The sequence below is a fragment of the Homo sapiens genome, chromosome 6, assembly GCF_000001405.40.
Source record: "Homo sapiens chromosome 6, GRCh38.p14 Primary Assembly".
Classification (NCBI taxonomy): Eukaryota; Metazoa; Chordata; class Mammalia; order Primates; family Hominidae; genus Homo; species Homo sapiens.
This window is the reverse complement of record NC_000006.12, coordinates 79,501,921-79,529,757: the sequence shown is the minus strand read 5'-3', so window position 1 is coordinate 79,529,757 and position 27,837 is coordinate 79,501,921. Positions and strand designations below refer to the sequence as shown.

General features: G+C 35.3%; 1 protein-coding gene and 1 long non-coding RNA gene across 6 annotated transcripts in view, besides 1 other annotated feature; one reads left to right on the top strand and one right to left on the bottom strand.

Annotated features, from left to right (window-relative positions):
* The window catches only part of LCA5 (lebercilin LCA5), a 53,792-nt gene that overhangs the window by 9,025 nt on the left and 16,930 nt on the right, over positions 1 to 27,837 (top strand). For 3 of the 5 annotated variants that reach the window (XM_047418251.1, NM_001122769.3, XM_005248665.5), the window contains exons 2-3: positions 10,673 to 11,053; positions 16,017 to 16,546. In XM_047418251.1, coding sequence (XP_047274207.1) covers positions 10,864 to 11,053; positions 16,017 to 16,546 — 720 coding nt within the window. In that variant the 5' untranslated portion in view covers positions 10,673 to 10,863. Of the gene's footprint in view, positions 1 to 4,488; positions 4,595 to 10,672; positions 11,054 to 16,016; positions 16,547 to 27,837 lie in introns of all 5 variants that reach the window. The other 2 variants (XM_011535504.2, NM_181714.4) reach the window with 1 other exon arrangement.
* On the bottom strand, positions 465 to 4,024 carry LOC124901348 (uncharacterized). Its single transcript, XR_007059654.1, has 2 exons — positions 3,877 to 4,024; positions 465 to 2,783 (listed from the first exon to the last, which is right to left on the bottom strand). It is a non-coding gene; the product is annotated as an uncharacterized LOC124901348 (long non-coding RNA).
* Positions 3,339 to 4,538: an enhancer, noted in NCBI's record as "CDK7 strongly-dependent group 2 enhancer chr6:80234937-80236136 (GRCh37/hg19 assembly coordinates)". NCBI's record gives its function as "activates an origin of replication core promoter dependent on BRD2, BRD4, P300/CBP, MED14 and CDK7 cofactors, with strong dependence on CDK7, by STARR-seq in HCT116 cells {active_cell/tissue: HCT116}" and the evidence as "EXISTENCE:reporter gene assay evidence [ECO:0000049][PMID:35650434]".

The window sequence follows — 27,837 nt, the reverse complement described above, 5'->3', positions numbered from 1 at the left end:
ATGGTGTATATGTGCCACATTTTCTTAATCCAGTCTATCATTGTTGGACATTTGGGTTGGTTCCAAGTCTTTGCTATTGTGAGTAGTGCCGCAATAAACATATGAGTGCATGTGTCTTTATAGCAGCATGATTTATATTCTGCGGGGTTACCATCTTCCTGGATGTTGCCTAAGTTTTATACCCCTCACAAGGTTACCCTTATAAGGATACCTTATAAGGCTGATGGATTACCCCATCTCCTTCCTCTCTTAAATTTCGATTTCCCAATAACTAAACTTTCTTCCCTTTTATTGGCTGACCCCTCCTCTACATTCTGTTCGCTTATTGTGACCCTCTAGGTGCATGAGCCCTGCGGTTTGTTACATTTGCAGGCTGGCTGCCAGTGCTTAGATTTATCATGCCTTGAAAGTGGACCATTTAAAATGTTTTCTCACTAATTCTCTCCTCTTTTCTATTTACTTTCTTTGGTTGCATTTTTATTTAAACCTTTCTGGTACTTGAATTGCTTTAGAAGTTGTTAACTTTTTTCTTTCTAGGAGAGTGAGTTTAATTTGGTTTCTAATAGTAGCAGGTTATTTTGCTGGTAAGTTATGGGCATTTGCTTATTAATAGCCGTTTTAATTAATCTCTGTGCTAGTCCCCTCACACGAGGGATAATACAACATCCCACTGCTGTTAAGACTCCTGCCACAGTTATGAGAGATGTAAGGATTGAAGCTACCATGCCTTTCCATTTTTTAAACCAACTTTCTAGCCAACCCCTAAATGGGTTATTAATTCCAGCATTTTCTGCCAGTTTGTTGCCTAGAGTTGTTAGTCCTTGTAAAGTTTTCATGATGGTTACATTTGGGGCAGTATTGTTAAGATTGAAAGTACAACGTTTCCCACCCAGCATAACACATATGCCCCACTTTTTTGCTAGTATTATGTCTAGTGCAAGCCTGTTTTCTCAGGCCATTTGGCTGATGGCATTTAACTGGCTAGCTACCCCCTTTGAGGGCATCTGAGTATAATTGATGAGTCTTTGTTGATTATAATAGATGTAGTTAATCTAATCCACATTCTTATTAATAGTTGACCACTAGAAGAGTGCTGACGTAAACCTAGCAAGTATTTGGTTTCGGGCCTTAAGTTCATTAGGCATCTCCCTAGGGACTCCTATTGAGTTAACATGTATATTGGGATTAAAAGAATTTGTTACATCTTTTTGGTTTTGGTGGCCATGTGTATTTTTGGGTATCTTATGGAATGCCAGGGAGAGGGGAATGGCCAATTGGACTAAAGCACAAGTCCCTATCCAATCGGATGGTAACAGGTTACGGAGGTTCCTTTTCCCACAATACCACATGACGTTAGCACTGGGTATGTGGAGAGCTGAGTGATTGCCATTGCCTTACCACTGATGTTTGGGATGTGGGTACAAGTTGAAAATTCTCCCATGGGCTTATTGAACTCTGCCCCCCACCTAGAGAGACAAGAGGGGTGGTTTATATTCCCTATAGAGAACGAGGGAATTGCTCTGGGATTTGACCTCCGCAATGCAGGAAAGAACAATGACAGACTTTTATAAGTTTCATTTTCCTATGCATCCTTGTTCTGGTATAGAGCCAACATGCAACGCATTCCTTCAGGATTGATATTTTATCCTAGAGGAAATGGAACCACCTTTGCCTGAGGTTGTTTCGCAGCACACTTGTAGTGGTTACTCTTGTTGAGGGCTTGTACCGAAAATTTGACCCATTCGACCCAGGCATTCACATCCCTGTACCCTGTCTCAATTTCTAAGGTTTGCCTTAAATTCTTTACCTCAATTATTTTTACCCTTTTAGGGTTATTATTTGGTGGACTAAAGTGTTTATTAGGGTTTGGAGTTGGAGTAGTCTCAGGCAAATGGGAGGTTGAGTTTTTGATTTTTGAGAACGAATTGCCCTAGGGGGTCTTTCCCTGTGATGTCTGCTCTTAACCCATATACCCAAGACGCTTCCTTTGGTTCTTGGTTTAGAATGGCTGGATTGTTAATGGTGATGAGTATAGGATTGCATTTTAAATTCTGGCAGTTATTTGGCAGGGAGCCCTTGGACAGATGTAGTTTATTCTTTAAGGGTCTCCAGCTCGGAGTTACCCACCCCGTGTTTACCGTCCATCCCTGAAATTGGGTAGTTTACCATACATCATCCCAGCTGGGGCGGAGTCATGCGCTGCTGTAATCTGTATCTGGTTCAGGGCAAAGATACTTATTTGCCTGTGAGAGCTGTCTCTGATTTTTCAAATTCCCACAAGGTAAGACCGGGCAGGTATTAAATCTTATAGTTTGTGGTGCTACCATCTTGGTTACGTTGATTACCAACTTGATTGGGTAGGGAGGAGTTCCCTGCCAGTTTCCATTTTGACGTTCTGCTTTTTGTATAGTAGCCCATTTTAGCCATATTAACTTCCAGAAATGGGGCCAGCCTATGTTTTCTTTTTAGATTTTTTTTTAGAGTTAACTTTAAGGGTTCCTTAGGTGACCCAGGCACTTTTTACTGTTGTTTTCCCCTCCCTTCTGGGGTCTGTTTTACCAGTCCCTTGATTGGAGTAGAGTGAATCTGCTGCTGTTCAGCTGTTTGCATGGCTGTTTCAGTGGTTAGGAGCACTTGAGGGTCCTTCCCAGCTTGGGTGGAGCTTGTCTTCTTTCCAAGTTTTAATCAGCATCAAATCACCAGGCTAGAAGTGGAAATCATGAGGCTGGAAGTGGTGAACAGCAAACTTAAGAGGCGGAGTTTGAGTTAGAAGTCCTTTTAACCTAAGGGGTGACAGGGTGGAGGATATGGCCAGTTTATAATTTCTTAAGAATTGATCCTTGGTTTCCATAGTAGGGAGATTTGTAGCTCTGCCAAAATATAGGAGCCCATATAATAGCTTGTAGGGGGACAATCCCAAGTTTTTTCCTGGGGCTGTTCTAATCCTAAGGAGTGCTATTGGGAGACATTTGGTTCCGGGCATTTTAGTTTTTAAGATTAGTTTGGTGATAGCTTTTTGAGAGTTTGATTTACTCTTTTTATCTTTCCAGAGGAAGGGGGATGCCAAGGGGTGTGGATAATTCCATTTAATTTGTAAACTTTCCATAATTCCCTTAACACCCTTTGAGGTAAAGGGGCTCCCATTGTCTGAATTAATATTTTTCACCAGGCCAAATCTAGGTAAAATTTGTTGTTTTGTTTTGTTTTGTTTTTTGAGACGGTGTCTCGCTCTGTCGCCCAGGCTGGAGTGCAGTGACGTGATCTCGGCTCACTGCAACCTCTGCCTCCTGGGTTCACGCCATTCTCCTGCCTCAGCCTCCCAAGTAGCTGGGACTACACGCGCCCGCCACCTCGCCCAGCTAATTTTTTGTGTTTTTAGTAGAGACGGGGTTTCACCGTGTTAGCCAGGATGGTCTCCATCTCCTGACCTTGTTGATCCACCCGCGTCGGCCTCCCAAAATGCTGAGATTACAGGCATGAGCCACCGCGCCCAGCCGTAAAATTTGTTTTAATATTATTTTGACCACATTCCTGGCAGTGGCTATTGGGAAGGGGAAAGGCTTCCACCCCACCGGAAAGGTGATTTATGATTACCAGCAAATACTTTAGTTTTCCTGCTTTGGGCATTTCTGTGAAATTTACTTGAATGCTTTGAAATGGTCTTAGTTCGGGAGGCCTTCCTCCTGTGGCCTGTTTTCTAATCACCTTTTTGTTTACTCTTTGACAAGTTACACGACTTCCACATACTTGTTTAGTGAGGGTATAAATCCCTATACACCCATAATTCCTAAGTATTGCATCACACAGAGCCTGGGGTCCCCAGTGACTCCCTTTGTGTAATACAGACATTAGTTCTTTTATTAAAGGTTTACTCACGCTAGCTTTCCCACACTGTCCACCGTTATCTTGGCTGTCTGCTCCGGCTTGTGGCTCCTGCCGCCCCCACACCTGCAGCTGCACTCCCTGGCCTGCAAGGTCAGTTGTTAGTTACAAAGTTAACTTTCACGAGGCCTTGCCCTACTGGGTCCTCCGGATCTAATCCGGACTATTTTTTCATTTGATCTCTGAGCCTTTGCAGGAATGCAGAGGGAATTTCCTCTTTTTCTTGTTGAATTTCGAATGCCTTTGAGACATTTTGTGTCCTAGGAATGGACTCTTTGATCCCTTTAATTATTAGTTTCCTGAGGTCCTGCATTTGGGCCCAGTCCCTGGGATTGTGATTATTCCAGTTGGGATTGACATTTGGAAATTTTTGTTTGGCTGGCAAGACTTTTTGCCTAGGAGGGTGTTGCCTCTGCCAGATGGCTATGACCACTCTCCTAATTATTCCCCTTTCTTCTCCTGTGAACAGGATATTTATGATAGACGTTGTTTTTAGCCCAGGTGTAAAAGATGGGTCCTAGGAATTGGTCCAGCTGGTCTGCTAAAACGAGGGGATTTCCTAGGAGTGGTCTCATTTCCTTTCCTTCTCTTTTCTTTTTTTTTAAGTATAAATGATCAACCAGAAATTATCTTCAAAGGAATAAAACCAGAAGTATGTAAATAAAAAGCCCAAGATAAAGAAACAGAAAAGCTGACACTACATGAAGCAGAGGTAATTCTTGGATCAGAAGAGACTTTAAACAGAAAATGTTTATGTAGTATACTCAGAGAAAAAAATATATTACCTCAGTAATGCGAGAACAGAATAATTATTTTAAAAATCGGAACAACAAAGAGTTCTTGGAAATGAAGATATTGGCATAATTTTTTAAATGATGGTTTAGAAGATAAATTGAAAAAAACTCTTTGAAAATAGAAGAAAAAAGTAGCCTTATTATTTAACTAGGAGAAATTTCAAAAAGAAAATGAAAAAAAGGTTAATTATCTGAAGAACAATATAAGAAAACCTCTGGTGCTTAAAGATACAGATTTCCAGATTGAAAGGAAGAGGGGGAGAAAGGGTCCCAACACAACAAAAAAGGCTCACTGGTATTTATGTTCTTGTGAAATTTCAGTATAACAAGAGGGAAAGCCCTAAAAGCACCTAGGGAGCGAAAAAAGGAAAAAGATAACCTATAAAGGAATGAGAATCTGTTTTAGTATAACTAGAGTGTAAATTCCCTAAGGGAATTTACTTTCTGTTCATTAATTGACTTTCTGTTCATTACTGCTACATAGAGCTCAAGAAATATATTTTGAATAAAAGAGTGACTGTAACATGTGTCACAAATAATGCTGATATATTTTGAATAAAAGAATGATTATAACATGTCTCACAAACAATGCTGAGGGTTTAAGACAGTGAAGCAGTGTCTTCAAAGTTCTGAGAGAAAATAACCTAGAATTTGGAATGTATGAAAAGTAACAAGTGTGAGGTAAAATAACGACATTCTCAGGCATGCAAGGACTTAGAACATTTACTTCCTAAACCATAAACCCTTTCTGAAGAAATTATTTAAGGATGTGGACCAGTAAAATGATGATGGAAACTAATAAACATGACATGGTCTAAATGAAATAGTGCACTAACTCAGGAATTCAATAAAAGTAATTCCAGAATGACAGCAGTACAATAGGTCTAGAATGTAGTTGGTTTAAATTAGAATAGGAAATTCGAGGAAAATGTCTTTAGGAGGAAGAATGGAATGGACTTCAGGCTATTGGTAGATTAAGAAGCTGGTAGATATTAGTGATATAAGAAACGTTTTTTCCACTTAATAGGAAAAAAAAGACAATTAGGAATTCTAAGAGAAAAACCATGCATAACCAACATGTGGTTGCATGTTGCAATCATATAAAATGAAGGGTGAGTTAAATACTCATCTTTCATAGTCTAAAATTGCTAACTTAAGATATAGCGTACATATAAAGGTATAAGCCATTAAAATGGTTGTTTCAGGGAGCAGGACTTGGATAATGGGACATTGGATATTTCCTTTATTTACTTATTTTTATGGAACTATGTGGAAGTATTTGAGGGGGGGCAGGGAGAGAACACTGTGTGTATTCTTCCCCTTTGCCATAGAAAGTTGGTGGGCCCCTCGGATTTAGATAGGATAGGGAGTTCCTAGGAAGCTACTTCTGCTACGCAAATGTAAGCAGAAATAATTTTCATCTTTACCATGTAACCAACTTTTAATTATATTATTGGAATTTAAACTGAAAGTTGTTGACAAAGAACATCAGTTATAATTTACTGAGCATCTCATATGTGTTTGAATTGCTAATATAATTGTTGATATTTACCAAGTTCTTACTGTGTAATAGTTATTGAATTATCCCATTTAATCCTCACAAGAATTCTCTAAAGTAGTTACTAGTAATATTACCATTTTACATTTTAAAAAGTTAGACTTACATTGAGAGGTAAACGCTCCAGATTTACATAGCTAATGAGTGCTAGAGCCACTTACTTGCTGTTATCATTATCCTTTTTTTCTAGACAATTTTTTTCATGTGTAAATATTTTTTCACTTGATTGCAGAGTGAAAGATTCAGGCTGATTTATGTATATTTTTAATATTAGTACTTGCCATAGGAATTGTTGATTTTAGATACAGTTGCTAATTTTGATAGAGACTGCGATTGCTAGGCACATCAGAAGTAAAATCAAAGTTGTGTTTTTTGTTGCTTTTTAAAATATTTCTTCTAAAGAAAATATCAAACAAATACAGAATTGGAAATATTAGAATAATTAATTCAAAAGTCTTCTATCAGTTTACATAATCATCAACTCACAGTCAATTTTGTATAATCTTTACCCTTACCCATTTTCCTTTGGGTTAATTTTGAAGCGAACCCCAGACAATTTTATTTATAAATATTTGAACATATATCTCTAAAAGATAAAGATTCTTTAAAAAAAAAAAAAGACAGTATCAACATCTCACCTAAAACAATATAATTCCTTAATATTAAATATGTGGTCAGGGCTGGGCGTGGTGGCGCATGCCTGTAGTTCTGGCTACTCAGGAGGTGGGAGGATTGCCTGAGCCCAGGAGTTCAAGGTTGCAGTAAGCCATGATCATGCCACTGCACTCCAGTCTAGGCAACAGAGCAAAACTCTGTCTCTAATAACAATAAATAGTGTTTAAATTTTCTTGATTATAATTTTTTAATACAATTTATTGTAATCAGGAGTGAAATACTGTCCATGGATTGCACTTGGTGGTTGTTTCTTGAGACTTTCTTATTATATAAATACCCTCTTCTCTCCTCTCTCTTGTTCTGCTTGCAATTTCTTCATTAAAGAATCTAGTTTTTCCTGTAGAGTTTGCTACAGTCTGGATTTTTTCTGATTGCTTCTTTGTACCTCGATCTCTCTCCTACTTTCAGTGTCATTTACATTTACAGGCTTCAGTAGATTCAGATTTAATTTTTGTGGGGAGGAGGGGAGATTACTTCAGAAGTATTATTGTGTCCTATCAGAGACATGGTGTCTGGCTGTTACTTTTCTGTAGCAATACAGCCATTTATGATCATTATATAGCTTCATTATTTCATTAGGAGTTGTGAAATGTCACTCGTCTAATTCTGTCATTTTAATATTTTATTTTTTATTTGTTAACTAGAATAATTCCATAAAGAAATACTTCCCCCCATCTAATATTTTGTTATTTTCAGATAATAGCTTTTTAAGAGTATAGGCAAGATGCATGTGTGATTTTTTTTATATATAAATTTTTTAATTAAATGAGATGGTTTCCTAGAATCTTCCAAAGGTGAATAATTAGGTTTTTGTAAAATATATCATATGAACTCAAGGATTTAAACACTTTTGATATGTTTAAATCGTTTGCTGATATAATTCGTATTGATAACAAATTTGCCTTGTCTTTGGCAAGTAGTTCCTTGAAGTTGGCTCCTGAGTCCATTTGACTGACACTCCATCAGTAGTATCTGATAGCGTCCTTGCTTTCTAGGATGACCAGGTTGCTATATTCTTAGATTTATTTTGTGTGTTTCCTCCCTCAGAAATGGAATCAGGCATTTCACAAGGAACTTTAGGTTCTTTCAATGGGAAGTGGCATATAGACACTAGATCTGGGTTCTAGGAATGTTCCTAGTTTTTTCCTTGTTTCTGGGATTTTTCAGTGGACAAAGTGAAGAAGTTTTTTTTAAATAAATAAAAGCCATCATAAATTCATACTGACACTCATAATTCAAATTTTGAATGTCAAAGTTTTAAAACTCACATTAGTTTATATTTACTTCTTCCATGTTGAAAATTCTAGTGCCCAGCTGCACCAATAATAATTACTCATTTGTTTTATTTCACAGTACATGTGTATAAGTCTGAGAATAAAATATCTGAGTAGCAAAATATGATTATTGGAATGGCTTTAAAAATTTTTTTTGGTCATTATGTCTCACTAGGAATATAAAGTCAAGTTATTGTGTTTTAAAGTCATTCGAACTGGTTAATTTGTGTGGTTTTACCACCAACCATGTATGTAGATTGATTTATCTAATTTTATTTTGATTTATGGGAATTGCTTTTCAAAAATCTCATTTCTAAAAATCGTAATTTCCAATGTTAAATCTACAAAAATTATATACAAAGAAACCTAGCTTCTATCCCTTTTCCTAAACTCTGCTTCCTTCCTTCCCCTGTAGCAGTGTTGTTTAGTAAGCTAACTACCAGCACATGTGGCTTCTTAAATTAAAATTAATTAAAATTAAATAAAATTAAAAATTAGTTCTTCAGTTACACCAGCAACATCTCAAGTGCTTGATAGCCACATGTGGCCAGCCACCATCTTGAACAGCACAGACTATAGAACATTTCCATCCTGGCTGAAAGTTCTGTTGGACAGCCCTACCCTAGCGAACCCATTTTATTTTTCTTAATTATTTGATTTCTCCTTCTACTTAAATATATAAAAATTATGTATGTTACCCTTCTTCCTTGATAAATGGTAGCATACTGCAGGCTTTTTTCCATCTTTCTTTTCTCTGTATATCCTAGAGATTATGCCAGACTATGAGCAATACACAGAGATAGTCTTCATTCCTTTAATAGCTTCATAGTATTACATATACTTCATTGTGTGGATGTTTATAGTTTGTAAGACCAGTTCTTATTGGTCATTTTATTGTTTTAGTTTTCTACTTACAATAGTGCTACAATAAATAGTGCTGCCTTGTGCATGTCCTTTCATATGTTATTACTAGAAGAACGATACTTTTAATACTAATTTCATCAGAGATGTTTGTTTCTTCTAAATTGGATTATAAAAGTAATCCAATTTTGTTGTGTTAGAAAACCAGAATATGTTAATGGAGAGATAAAATTATCTAAAATCCATGTTGTCAGGCAGGGACTATTTTGGTGTTCTTGTATTCCTTGCTTGGAAAATGTTTTCAGTTTCTGAATTCAGATAGGGATAATAGTATTTTCAGTATTTTTTTAATGAATGTGTGTAGTTGAGATCATACTGTATGCACTAATTTGAATTTTTTCTTTATGATAATAGTATAAGCATTTTCCTTAAATACAGACTTTTTGTAAACATTATCAGTAGCTTCATGATATTTTGCTGTATGGATTTATAAAATACTTAATTATTCCTCAATGATTAGGCATTTAATTTGCTTCCATTAAAAAAAAAGTACTGTACTACATTAAATATTTGCACATAACTTTTCTCCTAATTTTAGCATTATTTTATTGGAGTCCAGAAATTATTGTATCAAAGGTTAAAGCATAATTAAAGTGACAATACATTTTGCCAGTGTTTTTCCAAAAAAACTCTAGGGATCTTTTTCTGATAGCAACTCTGACAGCATTGAGTGTTATTATTTCGAAAAATCTTTAATAATTTATGTTGCCTTTTTGGAGTCTTATATATTTTGCCCATTTAATTGTTTTACCTCATATTTTTCTCAAAGGATGATATATTTATGTATTGAAGATGATAACAATTTTTTGTCATGTTTGCAAATGTTTCTCATCAAGTATTTTTTCTTTTAGTTTTTAAAAAATGTACTTTAGTTATACATTTTTTGTGTGGTCAATCTTGGATATTTTTATTCTTTATTCTTTTTTTTTTTTTTTTTTGAGATGGAGTCTCATTCTGTCACCAGGCTGGAGTTCAGTGGCGCCATCTTGGCTAACTGCAACCTCGGCCTCCTGGGTTCGAGCGATTCTCCTGCCTCAGCCTCCTGAGTAGCTGGGACTACAGGCGTGTGCCACCACGCCCAGCTAATTTTTGTATTTTTAGTGGAGATGGGGTTTCACCTTGTTGGTTTCTTGACCTCATGATCTGCCCGCCTCGGCCTCCCAAAGTGTATTTATTCTTATTAGCAGGTTTGTTCTTTACTATCACCACTACTTCCACTCCCACTGCCTCCCTGCCTAAAAAAGAAAAAACTGGTGATTTGATCATTATTGTCCATTAAAATTCAGCATTTGCCTCTAGTATAACTCTTAAAATTAAACAGTCAACTTCAGTTAACATTTATTCAGAAGTAGTTGTATGTCAGGTACTTATTATCTATCTAGGCTATGACAGTCTGTATTTTCTCCAAATACTGTAAGTAACTTATCTGTGAAAATATAGATAAATTGTAGCCTCTTTTAAAAATTGTAAGCTATATATTATTTTGCTTTTAGTGTCTTTCATTGTAATTAACTGTAGAAACTGTAGAGACTGTATGATAAGTCTCCTTTCCCCTTCCTTAATTTCAGGGCAAAAAAGTTTATCTTCTGGATGCCAATGTGAATTGTGGTCTACAAATACATTGTGGAGAAAATAGATTGCACAGAAATGAATATTATCAGGATCTGAAGACTGTGAAAATGTTTTTCAGTATTGTCATAGTCTCCTCTGGAGAAAATAATCTGTGAAATTATGTGAATAGAGACCATTTTTCAAAACAATGGGGGAAAGAGCAGGAAGTCCAGGTACTGATCAAGAAAGAAAGGCAGGCAAACACCATTATTCTTACTTATCTGATTTTGAAACGCCACAGTCTTCTGGCCGATCATCGCTGGTCAGTTCTTCACCTGCAAGTGTTAGGAGAAAAAATCCTAAAAGACAAACTTCAGATGGCCAAGTACATCACCAAGGTAAGCATTCTTTAAAAGAGTCTGGTGGACCTAGAAGACTCATTTTGAGTGCTTAAGGAAAATGTGTGTGCATGATACTCTTTTATTAGTATATATGTTGTTGTATACATGGAAGTGGGCTGATTTACGTTTTATAGGTTATATACTTATAAGTATATATAAATGTTGCTTGATGGTACTATTAAATTTGTTATATTCAAAGTCATACAGTATACAGAAGGAAACATAGCTAAGCCTTCTCAGTTTGTTTTTTCTTTTTCCTAAATAAATGCTTGTCTTGGGGTTTCTGAGGTACTGTAAAGGCAAAAAAGTTTATAAATCATATGTACCTTTTTGTATCTTCATTTTTTGAAAGTAGAAAAAGCATCGACATAAAGTGGTTAAGGGACTTTTTAATAGATTGAGTAAAATTACTTACTGTAGGTAATACAGTATTTACTGTAAAAATTCAAATTAAACCTAGGAATGGAATTGGGGCCTTTGGTCTAATTTGCTTTCTTTTGAAGTGTGTTATAATGGAAACTGGATTAATCATTAGAAGTCATTTTTGTTATTAAAATGTTACTAGAATGGAAATAGGCCTTCATACATATTTGACTATGTAATATTCTACAAATATCTTCATCTCAATAAATCTCTGGTCAAGAAAACCCCATTGTAGTTAGTAACAAAATATGTAAGGTTTACAAGTACAGCATAGAAAAATAAGGCAAATGAGGTAATTACAGTACCCATTAATAAAAGTAGCACAGCAGTAGCTTAAAATGGTGAGAGTTTAGATTGCAAGGCCAGGAGTGGTAAAATTGTGGGTGGAAAAGGGAAACAAGGGACCACATTATGAAATGCCTTGCATCCTGTGCTAATGTATTGACTCTGTTTTTGTGGCGAATAGTTAGCCATTGAAAGGATTTAAGCAAGGACATAATTAAGTTTGTCTTTATAAATTTTTACTTCAAAAAATAATATTCGCTTATTAAAAACTGCAAAGAATATGTATTCCTTTTGAAAGAAACCCTTTCATGGATCCCCAGTCTAGCTCCTCAGGGATTTCCATACTTCTAACCATTTATAACAATTGGGAACCTTTTTCTTTTTCTTTTTTTGTAAGTACAATGCTTTGTTGTTGTTGTTATTTTGGTCTCTTTCTCCAAATCTGTCTCAGTGAGGAGCTTGTTATAATTTTGTAGTTGAGAGCATGATCTCTTATTAAACTTTTGCTGTATAATTAAGAACTAACAAAACAGATCTTAAGGTTGAACCTTAGAAAATGCCTGTTAGTCTCAAGAAATACCTAGGGTAGTATTGGTAAGGAATACTTTAATTTTTTTCTTCATTCCCCAGAAACAACTTAGGAGGCCACCCAATTAAGGAGTCTGAACTTTGTAAGCCTTACCTTATTTGAGAAGGTAATTGAGAAAAGCTGTGAAAAACAGTTCCAGCATCAGCCAGAAAATTTCAATTATTTCCTTCAATTTGACTTGTACCGTTTTCTGTTTTACACTGTCCTTTGAATTAAAATCTGTGGTAATTAGTCTGCCTTAGACCAAGTAACAAGACCAAACTGATACGTTTCTGTAAACACTAAATTGCAATCAGTATAGACTAACCTAGGGACAAAACAAATGTGATTCAAACAGCATTTTAAACGAATTTTCGGGTTTGCGTGTTTGATAGCATATTCTTCCTTCCCCTTCCTTAATTTTCAGCATACTTTACTTTTTTTTGCATAAAATTCATGCAGTATCAAAATTTTTCATGGTAAAATTTAATAAGTTTTGGTTATACATGTTCATTTATTATATATTATTCCATTATTTGTTTTTTCAATAATATTAACATATCTTGATTTTTTTGGTGGATGCATAATTTATTTTTACTATGTTAAAAAAAGAGTCATATTATTTTTAACACCTGAAGGAAGAAAAAGCAATTTTCCACCCACTTTTTGGGAGTGACTTAAGAAGGAGAGATGAAGAATGATATATACAACAATCATCTTTCTTCTTACTCTTATTAGCACTTGATGGTTTAAAATATTTTGTCTTATAGTTTTATAAATGAAAATAAAAAGGTAGATGAAAGCTGGAAATATTTGTAAGTTCAGGTTAATGATCAGTTTGTAGTTATAGAATATGCTAAAAAATTTATACTCAGAGTTTTAGGATGTCAGAAAGTTGGTTATGGAAACCCTTTTTTATCTGACTAAAAATTTTTATCCTGATTCTTATTAGGCTTTAACTTTTCATATAAAACAAGTTGCTCTTTCTATGAAGTTTTATGAGCGGTATAATTTTGTACATAAAAACCATATTTGGAACAATTGACATTCATCTTTATACATAATTATTTTTATGTATAAAGTTTCTGTCATTCCAAGAGCTGAGTATATATCCCATAATAGCGTATATATACCAAAATTCCATTAACTACATATGTTGGGAAAGAAAACTGAAATGATGGACATTTCAACTTTAAAATTATATTCTCAACTAATGCTGCCCATTGGAAATATAATGCAGGTCACAAATGAAGCCACATATGTAATTTTATATTTTCTAGTAACCAGGTTAAAAAAAAAACAAATGAAATTAATTTTAATAATATATGAGTATTATTTCTACAGATAGTAAGTATAAAACATTATGAAATATTTTGCATTATTTTTATTTTTGAATCAAGTGCTCAAAATCCAGTGTGTGTTTCACAATTATAGCATATCCCAGTTTGGGCTACCCACTTGTCAAGCTTCTCAATAGCTGTATGTGGCAGTGGCTACCATAATGGATAGCATAGTTTCAAAGTTGCAATAATTAAGCACTCCCTCATTTCTTTTTATTACTGCTTCCTTTCATGTATTCAGTCATTTATAGAGCTGGAATCCCAAATCAGTACACATTCAAAACAGCTTCTATAAAATCTTTTATCTTTTTAATGAAACTTTGTAATGTTAAATTGTAAAAATTACTTGTTATTCTTTACTTGTTTACATAATGGAATCAAGTATCCATGGCTGATGAAATGGGGAAGGAAAGGTTGGATCTTCTAGTGTTTCTTCATTTTTTTACTCTGGAATGCATTTTCTCCTTGGAAAAAAAATGCAGTTACCATGTAGATTAAAGATCATTATTCTTAGCAGACTTTCAAAATGCCTCTTTTAAAGGGCCGGTGCTCTGAATATTGAGGCTTAAGGCTAATGAACTTTTAGTAAAAATAAAAACATTATTTCAAATTTTTGAGAAATGTTGTGATTTAAAATGTATTCTTTAAATATTTCATATACTTATATTTTTTAGGATGTGATTTTTGTTTTCATCTTCTCACATTAGGGTTTTTGATTTGAACATCACAGAAAAGAAATCCTCTGAGGAAGCATTTAGAAACACACCTGTACTTCTGTTTTCTGTTTTCCATCTCCGATAAGTGGAATGTTCTTATTACTAACAGAGAATATGTAGAACATTTAACTCTCCCAACAACCTAGTTGTGTAGATAATATTGTCTTCTTTCTATGGGCTGGGTAAATAGACTTGGAAAGGTTTGATTGAATTGTCCAGAGAGTTAAGTGATAAATTTGAGCCACAAATCTCGCTGTATAATATGCTGTCATCCTGTCCCCAGATGGAGAAAGTTGTAATTAATGTAGAGAAAACATACATTTTCTTTTTTCTTTCTTTTTTTTTTAGTTTTAAGTTCAAGGACACATGTGCAGGATGTGCAGGTTTATAACATGGGTAAACATGTGTTATGGGGGTTTGTTGTATGAATCATTTCATCACCCAGGCATTAGGCCTAGTATCCATTAGGTATTTTTCCTGATCTGCTCTCTCCTCTTGCCCTGCACCCTCCAATAGGCCCCAGTGTGTTTTGTTCCCCTCTGTATGTCTATGTGTTCTCATCATTTAGCTTCCACTTACAAGTGAAATCATGTGTTACTGGTTTTCTGTTCCTGCGTTAGTTTGCTAAGGATAATGGCCTCCAGTTCCATTCACGAACCTGCAAAGAACATGATCTCATTCTTTCTTATGGCTGTATAGTATTCCATGGTGTATATGTGCCACATTTTCTTTATCCAGTCTATCATTGGTGAGCATTTTGGTTGATTCCATGTCTTTGCTATTGTGAATAGTGCTGCAGTGAACATACATGTGCATGTGTCTTTAAAATAGAATGATTTCTTTTCCTTTGGGTATATACCCAGTAATGGAATTGCTGGGTCAAATGGTATTTCTGACTTTAGGTCTTAGGAATTGCCACACTGTCTTTCACAGTGGTTGAACTAATTTATACTCCTACCAACAGTGTATATGCGATCCTTTTTCTCCACAACCTTGCCAGCACCTGTTATTCTTTTTACTTTTTAATAATAGTCATTCTGACTGATGTGCGACGGTATCTCATTGTACCCCATTAAAAAGTGAGGAAAGGACATAACAGACACTTTTCAAAAGAAGACATACTTATGGCCAACAAGCATATGAAAAAAGCTCAACATCACTGATCATTAGAAAAATGCAAATTGAAAACATACATTTTCACATTTGAAATAATGATCCCAAATATCTTGGCATGAATGACTTGAATATCACAATGTTTTGTCCAGTGTTTGTTATGCACCATGCTAATGCTGATGATGCTGATAATGCTCATGTTTGAATTCTGACTTGCCATCTTATCTAAAAAGTTAAAAATGGTTAAAGCCTGATACTGCTGTCTTTTAAAGCTATGTAGAATAATTCCGTATAAACTATTGGGATATCATTTTTCTTAAAATATTGCATACCTTTCTTAATAGAAACCTATTTAGAGCTCTAAATAAAACTTGATACTTTACTAAATATTGTAAAATCCTTTCTTAAAGACAAAAATAACTAAAGAATGTTACGGACCCACTTGTGTTAGGATGAACAAATAACACTGTGTTTGGTACAGCTTTCACTTTACATTATTCCTGTTTCTTTTTTAGCCCCTCGGAAACCAAGCCCTAAGGGTCTACCAAACAGAAAGGGAGTCCGAGTGGGATTTCGCTCCCAGAGCCTCAATAGAGAGCCACTTCGGAAAGATACTGATCTTGTTACAAAACGGATTCTGTCTGCAAGACTGCTAAAAATCAATGAGTTGCAGAATGAAGTATCTGAACTCCAGGTCAAGTTAGCTGAGCTGCTAAAAGAAAATAAATCTTTGAAAAGGCTTCAGTACAGACAGGAGAAAGCCCTGAATAAGTTTGAAGATGCCGAAAATGAAATCTCACAACTTATATTTCGTCATAACAATGAGATTACAGCACTCAAAGAACGCTTAAGAAAATCTCAAGAGAAAGAACGGGCAACTGAGAAAAGGGTAAAAGATACAGAAAGTGAACTATTTAGGACAAAATTTTCCTTACAGAAACTGAAAGAGATCTCTGAAGCTAGACACCTACCTGAACGAGATGATTTGGCAAAGAAACTAGTTTCAGCAGAGTTAAAGTTAGATGACACCGAGAGAAGAATTAAGGTACAATTTCTACAGCTTCTAATTGTACTTTCTTGGGATGTTTCTCATTGGGCATTTAATGTGCTCTCTTAAAATTGCTTATTGCAGTTTGGTATTTGCTTGGAAATGAAAACTATTTTTAGTACTGTTTTGGGAAAATTTGGATTTTATATTTAAGAGGAAGATGCAAAAGATTGTGTACATTAATGAGCTACATGTTGATTGACGGATCATAGTCATTTTGGGAAAATACTCTATTTGGTTATCTGATTGTTTCTCTAAAATTGGAAATGACACTAATAGCCATAGTATATAAAACTGACGTTTTGGGGCCACTGTGTAAGAGATGCCACATGAACAATGACTTCTGTTTTTATATTTATGCACATTATTTATTGAAGATTAATTACAGTACATCTTTTTGGACATGGAATGCACCTCCTCCCCCGAATGAAAAATCTGTTAAAGGATGGGTGGGAGACTGTTGACTGACTAGTCTGAGAATACAGCAGCTCTTTTAAAAGTATTTCTTTCCTGAATGGAGAGAGGAAAAGAGTCCTATCCCATGATTTTTACACAGGGCAGTCAGTTGCCACCTTCTATATATATATGTATCAAACAGAAGCCCTGAGTCAGGTTCTGTTGCTTAAAATTGACAAGCAGTTTGGAAAGCAAAGGTACGAAAAAGTATGGCAATAATGCTTGCTGTGAGCGTGAGCAAAGGAAGCTCAGAACTACAAATAAATTAGGTTTCTGCAGTATATTAATCAGATGTTTTTAATACATGGCATGTTGTGGTACTTACTCTATATAATATGCCATGCCCATTATACCAGTGCCATGCCCAGGGACGGGGACTTATTAAATATGCACCGTACATCAGTGGCCAGAAAAAGCGGCTATTTTTTTCCTCCAAAATTTGCAACTATTGTCTTCTGTTTCAGTGCACAGAAGATATCCTATTATGTAGATTCCAATAATGATCAGCTCATAGTGCAAAGCAAACAGAAACTATTTTTAAGAGCCACTTACCCATGAAGTAGGGTAGGAGTGGGGACTCAGAACAGTTACCGTAAACAACAAATAACTGACATTTTAATTATTTTTAAAGGGAAGCATAAAATGTGCCACATAATGGATTTTAAAATTACGAAGCGCACAGAATGCTAATTAATAAATATGATAAATAGCTGAGTGTGTATATAAAACTACATATAGAGAGAGAACATGAAATTGCAGTGCATACACACACATATACAACTATACACTGCAGTTTTCTCTTATGTGAAGGGGATTGACAGGTGGTGGAGAGGGAGAAGAAAAAGAAGGAATAAGAAGTGGGACGAAGCCTGTGGATTCTGAGTTATACGTGGAGGTAAATTATATGACTGCTCACTTGGGAGCATGAAAATCAGTCACCTATAATGTTAAGTCTTTGAAGTAGTTAACCATATTGTATCCTCATTTTTTTTCATATTGGAAGTTTTTAAAATTTTTATTTTGAGTTCATTGTAAATTGACATGCAGTTGTAAAAAATATATAGTGTAACTATAATATTACAACCAGGAAATTGGTCGTGATACATAGAGTTCATCAACTGCACTCAGCTTTCACTAGTTTTACGTGTGTGTGTATTTAGTTCTGTGCAGTTTCATCACATGTATAGATTCGTGTGACTACCAACATAATCAAGATATAGACCAATTCCATCACAAGAATCCCTTGTATTTTACCATTTTACAGCCACAGCTACCTCCTGCCTTCCCCTCACTAACCTATGACATCAGCTAATTTGCTCATTATTTCTCTAATTTTGTCATTTCAAGAATGTTATATAAATGGAATCACACAGTATCTAACCTTTTGACATTAGCAGATTTTGCTTATACATTCACTCAAATGGTTGCATATATCAATAGTTCCTTTCTCCCTGAGTATTCCATGGTATGGATGTACTATGGAGTATTATGGTACATCTGTTGAAGGACATTTGGTTTGTTTCCAGTTTTGGGCTCTTGACTAATAAAACTGCTATGACCACTTATGTGCACATTTTTGTTTGAATATACATTTTAATTTCTCTGGGATATATGCCTGAAAGTGCACTTGCTGGTTTTATGATAAATGTATGTTTGGTGTTGTAAGAAACTGCCATTCCATTCTCTTTTTTTTTTGTATTTTTTTCTTTGTTGTTGTTTTTTCCATTTGTAACAATCATCAGAACATTCTCTTTTCTAAAGTAGTGGTATCATTTTTTATTGTCCCGTCAGTAGTGTATAAGTGGTCCAGTTTCTCAGCATCCTTGCCAGCATTTGGTGTTAACACTTTTTAAAGTTTTAGCCATCTTGATAGGTATGCAGCATCATCTCATTGTGGTTTTAATTTGCCTTTCCCTAATGGCTAATGATGTTGAACATCTTTTCATGTGCTTATGTGCCATCTGTAGATCTGTGCATTTTTCTGCCCATTTCCTAATTGGATTGTTTGCTTTATCTATTTTTGGAGAATTCTTTATTATAATCCAGATACAAGGGTTTTGTCAGGTATGTGGTTTACAAAAGTTTTCTCCCATTCTGTAGCTTGGTCTTGTCATCCTTTTCACAGTGTCTTTCAGAGGAGAAATTTTTAATTTTGATGTGGTTCAGTTTAGCAGATACATCTCTTATGGATTGTGCTTTGGTGTCAAGTCTAACACGTCACCTATCCCTATTGTCTTTGCCTGTTTGTCCCAAAGACTTTCTTCTATTTTTTCATCTCCCAGCTTTATCGAGGTATAATTGACAAATAAAAATTGATTATTTTTAAGGTGTACCACTTGGTGTTTTATAAAATGGTTATGATTTTAGGTTTTACACTTAAGTCCATGATTCATTTTGAGTTAATTTTTGTATAGAATGTGAGGTTTAGGTTGAGGTTCTTTATTGTTTGTTTGGCCTATGGATGTGTAGTTACTCCAGCACCATTTGTTAAAAAGATATCCCTCCTTTATTGAATTGCTTTGGCACTTTTGTCAGTTGGGCATATTTTTATGGGTTTATTTCTATAGTCTCTATTCTGTTCTGTTGATCTGTGTGTCTATTCCTTTGTTGTTACTATACACTCTTGATTACCTACAGCATCCATAATAAACCTTAACATTAGAGAGACTGATTCCTCTCATGTTATATCTCATTTTAAACATTTTAACTATTTTAGCTACTCTTGATCTTCTGCCTTTCCACATAAATTTTAGAATAAGCTTGTCTACATCTACAAACATCTTCCTGGAATTTTTGTAGGAATTGCATTAAACATAGATCAGTTTGTGGAGAATTGACATCTTTACTGTGCTGAATCTTCCAATCTTGCACATAGTATGTGTCTCCATTTATTTAGGCAATCCGATTTTTTTCCTCATTATTTTGTAATTTTCAGGATACAAATCTGTATATGTTTTAGATTTATACTTAAATATTTTATTTCCTTTGGAGCAATTTTAAAATGCTCTCAATTCTTACTGAATTAGAAAATTACTTTTGAACTTTTATTTTTGAATGTCAAAGCTTATTTTTGTTGTAAAAGTTATTTTCACAAGGGGTTAAGAATGTTTTATGCAAACCAAGGAATGACTTGGTTTTATAAATTTACTCCCAAGTTTTAGAAATACTGGATTTATCTGCTCTATACCTCAAAGTTGGGTTGGTACATCTAAACTGCTTCATTTCTGCTATAATTGACATTATGTTGGAATCAATATTTAATATGTTATTATGAACCTACTTTTTTTTTTTTTTTTTTTGAGACGGAGTCTCACTCTGTCGCCCAGGCTGGAGTGCAGTGACATGATCTCGGCTCACTGCAACCTCCACCTCCTGGGTTCAAGCGATTCTCCTGCCTCAGCCTCCTGAGTAGCTGGGATTACAGGCACACACAACCATGCCCGGCTAATTTTTGTATTTTCAGTGGAGACGGGATTCACTATGTTGGTCAGGCTGGCCTGGAACTCCTGATCTCAGGTGATCCACCCACCTCGGCCTCCCAAAGTACTGGGATTACAGGCGTGAGCCACCACGCCCAGCCATAAACCTACTTCTCTTAACCCAATAACCTCATATCAGCTGTTGTACTATAGTAGCTCTCTTGTTATTTGAGGGGATGGGGGGAGTGTAGCCAGCGCAGCCCACCTGAGGGTAATTGTTCTCTACTTTTTAACCTACTTTTTCATACTTCCTAAATGCAGCCTCTGGTTTTTAACCCATTATGTACATCTTTCATGATCTCATCAGTCAATCCAGAATTTGAAATATTTACTATTGAGTTTCTTACTTTACTGCAAAATTTAGCATTTGTTTTTGTGCCTTATTTTATTTTTCAAATTTTACTTCAGCCAACACTATTGATCCTTTCTCTTCTAACTCAGTTATAGTCAAACCACTAACTGATTAAGGGGAAAAAACAGAAGCTTGATTGTGATGTTTCATTTTGCAAATTAACTAAAACCTAAGAAAATCCTGGGTATCCCTTGAAATTACAGTAAAATCTTAGTAAAGATCTTCGTTATCATTAAGTTCTGTGATGTTCTTTAGTAAGGATACTTGTCTATGTGGTGGTGTTTTTTTTTTTCTTTTGCTGTAACTTTTTGTTTTATTTTAAGATAAAGCTGGAAATTGTGGCAAGCAGCTTTGTTTATTTGTTTATAGCTTGTCCCATTCTAGGATTTCAGGCCACAACTCATTCTTCTTGCTAGTTGCAATTCCTTCTTAAGTGGGGGTGGTGGGGGTGGGGTGAAGTGTCTTCAGGGTTATCTGTAACTAGCTGAGCTGTGAAAAACTTCGCCAGGACATCAGCCTGTAAGTTGGGTACAGGCTTATTTTGTTCGTTGATGGAAGTGACAGAATGCACAGAATCTTAGTAATTTACGAACGGAGTAGTTTAGAAATGGATAACTGGTTAGGGAGGCAAACAGCCAAAGGTATCTATGGGGACAACCACCATGACAGTTGTCTGTCCTCCTTCAGAAATTACAGCCTATCTTGTAAGATGTGGTTTGCTCTAGTTCCGGGCCATAGACCAGGGATGGAGAAATACTTGATGGGATTAAACTTCCTGAGCTCCGTACAAAGGGCAGTTACCTCAGTGTGTATACTTACTTCCTTACTTAGAGTTGACTTTATACCTTTATTTTGGCTTTTATATCAATAAATTTATTGAATAAAGTCCTGTCAATGTATCAGCCTCAATTTAATATTTTGTCACATGGGATACCTATTAACTTCCACAGGAATGGCACCAGGTTCAAGAGTCTGAAAAAGAGATCCAGCGCCAGCAAATGAGACATAAGGTTTACTGAGGGTAACTTGCATACAGGTTGGTCCAGTGGTGGTGGGCTGGACAGTAGAACTGCCACCTTTTGCAGAAAGCATGCAGTTTATATAGCATTTTCACTTAACCTCCACCCCCTAACAACCTCCACCTGGCAACTTCTTTTAACCCAAAACAAAGAGTCTGGACTCCCTGTATGGCCAGCATTCCACGGGACAGGCCAGGGACTCAGATGTTCCTCACAGGTAAGGAATGAATCTCTTGGGTTGGCCACTGCTTGGAACTGTGAACACACATTCAGGTGTGTCTGCCGTACAGGATCATTCTCAAGGTGTGCTTAAGTTCAGTTATTGCTGTCAGGTGCATCTACCATACATATACATATGCCATGCAATATTTAAATAAAACCGTAACACATGTACAGCTAACTTTTATAGAAGAAAAACATTTTTTAGTTATATAAAGTAGTGATTTCCAAACCTTTGCTCTCAAGACCCCTTTATACTCTCTTAAAAATTATTGACACCTCCCCCCAGCTTTTGTTTATGTATATTTAGCACATTTGAAATAAAAATTGAGAACATTAAAAAATTTGTCTTAATTCACTTAGTAATAAGCAGCTCATTATATGTTATAAGATCTTTTAACAAAAAATCTATATTTCCCAAACCAAAAATAAATTAGGACAAGAGTGCATAATTTTCTATTTTTTAATTTTTTTAATGCCTGGCTTAATAGGGGACAGCTGGGTCCTCATATCTGCTTCTGCTTCAATCTGTTGCATTATGTTGTGATTGATAAGTATGAAGAAAATTGAGCCTCACACAGATGTCTAAAGTAGTTAGAAAATGGAGGAGTATTTTGGTAGCCTTTTCAGGTAACTGGATATTGTTTTTTGGTATTATGCTAAAGCTTAACAAGTGATTTCTTAATGGTTAGTTGCAATGGAGGAAGATGAAACCATATTAATGAGCGTTTTGTATTTGGATACACTAACATTCATTGGTCGTCTTTCAATGGATGTTTTACATCACACATTGGTCATTTGGAAAATACTGGTTCATTGAGTTATACAGACTTTCCAAACGTGTATATGTTTCAGTGGAGCCTTTGGAAAACCCCATTGTATATTCATGACACAATATGAGTGAAAATAGCAAATATAATCTTAGTATTATAAAATAGTTTTGACTTTGAAGACCCTCCAAAGTGTCTCAGGGACCTTTAAGGGTTTTCACATCATTCTTTATGAATCACTGACTTAACATAGGCAGTTCTTTGTTAGAAACTTCATTAGTAATTCGGCTAATATGCAGTTTCTTTTAGTGACTGCAAGACTGCACCATTTCTTAGTGGTCTAGAGACTGGCTTCAAATAGGGGGTGAAAGTAAAGGCATCAATTCTGTCCTAACTCCTCATAAGAAAGACTTACTGTTGGGGTTGTATTCCTGATCAGGGATGCAATAGCAGATCAGTCATAGCTATGACCAACAGTGTGTCATAAAGCAAATATCATGAAAGGTAACTATCATAAGAAACCATAATCATGAAATGGGAAACTGTCTTCTAAGCATTATGAAAAGATCATAAATGTGATATTATGTACATTATTATTAAAAGGACCTTAGTAAACTGTAGGGTACACATTTAGTACATATAAAAATTCAACTCTTTTTAAATTAAGTTGGCACAGAGTGAATTACTTTGTTAGAAAAACAAAAAGAAACTATTAAGACTTTTTTAAAAATTTCTAAAGATTTTGGGGAATGCTTGAGTATCATCATACAGCTCAGTATCAATGGAGCTATTAAAGGAAGTTTGAATAAACTTTTTTCTTTCAGTAGATTTTACTATAAGAGATTGGTATTCAAATTCTCTTGACCCTAGAGCTGCCCTCGAGTAGGTGTATTATAAGTGTTGCTTGTTGATTGCTTCCATGTAAACCACTTTCAAAAGTAAGAATTGAAATTCTTCCCTTTACTTACATTGTCTTCCCTTTACTCTTCCTAGTTTATCTTCCTAGATACAGCATTATCTTCCCTTTACTCTTCTTAGTTTATTCAGAACTGGAAGTGAACTGTCTAGTATTGGGCCAGGTAGGATCACTTTCCTTTATCTTTTCCTGCTATATTTTGCTCTAGTGGCTTGGAAGCTGCTCTGAAAGTTTTTCTGCCCTTTCACCCTTCAGAAACCCAAATCCAGAAGCCTGCCTTTGCCTCTTCTACCTCTTCTGCATTTATCTAACAAATGAAGCTAATTAGGACAGAATAATGGTCAAACTGGGTTAGCCCTGTTCTTGTCTAACTCTGAGTTTGTACAGTTCTCCTTACCTCCAGGTTGCAGTCGTTTCATCTGAGAAATTAAACGGAATGATTTCTGAGGTGACATTCCGTTCTGAAATCTGATGAGTCTAAATTCATACTTTCAAACCTTTCATATGCAAAAAGTGTTTTTAACATGGTAAATTATATTTATGCCCCCCAATTAAGTCCTTATTATATCTATTATTTAATGTTGGAGAAATGAAAAATTCCTGTTGTTGAAAAGAATAATTGCTTAGAAGATAAAATATTCATTGAGATTCTACTAATTTTTATTGTATAATCAAAGATTTTATTATTTATGTATATTTTTACCTTTTCTGGAGGGAGAAGATTTATAATGAAATTATGATATTTTTGATTGAAGTGTAAAGCTTAAAACAGTTTCAGAAAATAAGCTTTGCAGTGTCCTTAGAAACTACCCATTTAGGTAGAACAACTGTTAAGGCAATTTTGTGTTAATATCTAAGATAACCTTCCCATTGAAAAAGTAATACAAGCACTAAAACAGGGCTTAAAATTCAAATAATACAAAAGGATAGACAATGAAACATTAGTTTCCCTTCTAGGCTACGCGTTGCAAGCCCCTTCCAAAGAAACAGTCACTGTTAAGAAATTGTTGCTATGTGTGCAATCTCATATCTATATATTAATGTCCATTTTTCATTCTCTTACCACAGATGGGAGTGTACCATACACATTGTTCAATACATTTTTTTCACTGAAAAGTATATTTTGGCACTTTTTACATATTATCATGTTATATACATATATTTAGATAGATATGTATGTGTATTTTTGCACACACACGAAAAAAATCAGTCTCATGCTTTTTAAAGTCTGCGTATTATTCCATTGTGTAGATATATCATAATATGATGAACCCTTTCCTTATTACTGTTAAATTTAAGTTTAGCCTAAAGCTGCCTTCTTTCATATTTTAAGTTTGGCCTAAAAGTTTCTCCATACATAGTGACCTATAATCTAACTGGATATGTAAACAGACTGTTAGATACTCTTGTACCAGTCACAGAGTTCACCCAGTGACCGGTGGCCAACTATTCAAACTATGTTCAAGTAGTGCAGACACCAAGCTGTAACCAGCCCACCTGTTTCTTTACCTCACTTGTGTTTTCTGTATGTCATTTCCCTTTTTCTGTCCATAAATGTTACCTGACCATCTGGCAGCCTTGGAGTCACTCTGAACCTATTCTGGTTCTAGTTGCTGCCCAGTTTGTGAATTGGCTCAAATAAACTCTGCTAATGTGTCTAAAGTTATTCTTTTAACATTAATATATATGTTGGCTTTTGTTTTGAGGTAGTATAAAAGATGCAAAGCATTAAACGTAAGTTTTTATATGTGTATGTTAGTATACTAATGGAAAAAGGCTGGAAGAGGAAGTCCCTGGGTCAGTAGAGCATTTTAAAATCATTTTTGGCTATTTGTTAATATCAGGACTCTAAAGAGTGGTACTGGATGATAGTTGTTCTTGGATCAAAGTTAAATTCTTCATTTTGGGAGGATTAAATTGGCCTTTCTTGTGGTTATTATCATTCCAGGAAATTCTAGAGCATTTACATTTTTTGTTTCCCATCCCCTAGGCATTTGCATTTTTATGAAAGCATCTTTAATATAGAAACATTGATGGACTTTGCTAACTTAGTTGAGTTACAAATTATTGGCTTAGAATTCAAGGTCAAATTTTAAAAATTTTAGCTTATATTTTAATTAGACTATTAGTTAGACTGTTAATACCTACCCTTTAACCTATTAAGTTCTGAGTGGAACTTTATACGCACGCGCACGCGCGCACACACACACAGTTTCAAATTCTGGTTATACACCATTCCAGCTTTATGATGTGTGATACACCACTTAAATTATTTGAACCTTAGTTTCCAGTCTGTATATGTTTGCAGGTGATCGTAAATAGGGTTAGGGATAAAGTTTATAATGAGTCTGGCTCAGCGCTTGGTACTTACTGGACACCTAATATATGAGTGGAAAAAGAGAAATATACTAAAAGTACATGAATTAAAGGTAAATACATTAAAGCATGGTAGCATTCTTGAGTTTGAAAGGCCCCTGGAAATAATTTAGTGCAGTGGTTTTCAATTTGAGCTCAGTGGACTTCAAGAGTTCTACTGTTTTTTTAAAAAAGGTTTGAAACTACTGATTTGGTCTATTGGTTTTTCAAATTTTGGCAGTTCTTCACAGGCAAGCAGATAAAACTGAATTGTTCTGTGGTAGTGACTGAAGAGTTATGTTACAAAGGGGACTTCAGAAACTCACATGCCTAACAACTTGAAGCAACCTCTGAAACACCTCCATGGGGAACTCTCTAGTCCAACTCAAACATTGAACTGTTGAGGAAACTGAGAGATGTTATTTGCCTTCTTCTAGGTCACATAGAATCAGATAGGTCATGGCCGGGTGCAGTAGCTCATGCCTATAATTTCAGAACTTTGATAGGCCAAGGCAGATGGATCAGTTGAGCTCAGGAGTTCAAGACCAGCCTAGCCAACATGTTGAAACCCTGTCTCTACCAAAAATACAAAAATTAATCATGTGTGGTGGTACACACCTTGTAATCCCAGTTTCTCGGGAGGCCGAGGCAGGAGAATCGCTTGAACCTGGGAAGTGGAGGTTGCAATGAGCCAAGATCATGCCACTGCACTCCAGCCTACGCGACAGAGTGAGACTCTGTCTCAAGAAACAAAACAAAACAAAACAAAAAAGAATCATATAGGTCACTAGAAGCTCATGTGTGGGAGTAGAATTGCAGTAATCTGTCTTCTGTTGCTCTATTAATTTGTTACCATTTTAGTAAAATCCTTGGAATTTTATCACATTTAAATGCTGAGTAATAGGTTCCTCTTATAATAGTATATTTTGTGTTTTTTCATAGTTTTAAATGACAGCAGGAATTAAAATATTATAATTTTGGTTATTTTATCAGCATCTTCTGATAAAATGATCTAAAAACTGTAAAAGATACTAATTGTTTTTTCAAAGTCTGTCATCATGCTAATTCTCTATATGTCATTTGCTGAGCAGAAATCACTTCTAAAATCCGTTTTATTTTTGTTGCTAACTAGTAAATACTGTGGAGTAAAATCTATGTTGGAAGACAAAAGCTCAGGGTAAGGAAAGGCTTAAGATTTTTAAAGGAAACAGATTTCTTTAAAGAAAACAGGTTTCATTAGAACAAGAACAAGGTCCATTACTTAGGGCAGACTCGTAATGCACAGAGGAAGCATAACTATTGGATTATGAGTTTGCCTCTGTCTTGTCCTGCTCAAAGCAGATGAAGAAATAGTAAGACATAGATAGCTCATTTAAATGAGCTCAGTCTCCAGATTCAGATGAATTATCCTCCAGAGGACTGAAGAACCTTGCAAATGTGATTCCAGAGCTTTTCTCATTGTACTTTGGAGAGTTAGGAAGACTAGGAGAAGTGAGAAAGTGAAAAAAGGCAAATACCAGTGTTTTCCGAGGTAAACAGAGGTAGGTGTTAGAAATTATCAATCAGTGAGCTTGATGAAAATCTCTACCAGGTTTTTAAATGTTTTGGAAAATATTGCTTACTTAGAACTATTCTTACTTTCTTCCCCCCACTGCCCTGCTTAGGATTGCTAGAATGGTGCATGAAAATATGCTATATCTACTATATTCTCCTATGTGTATA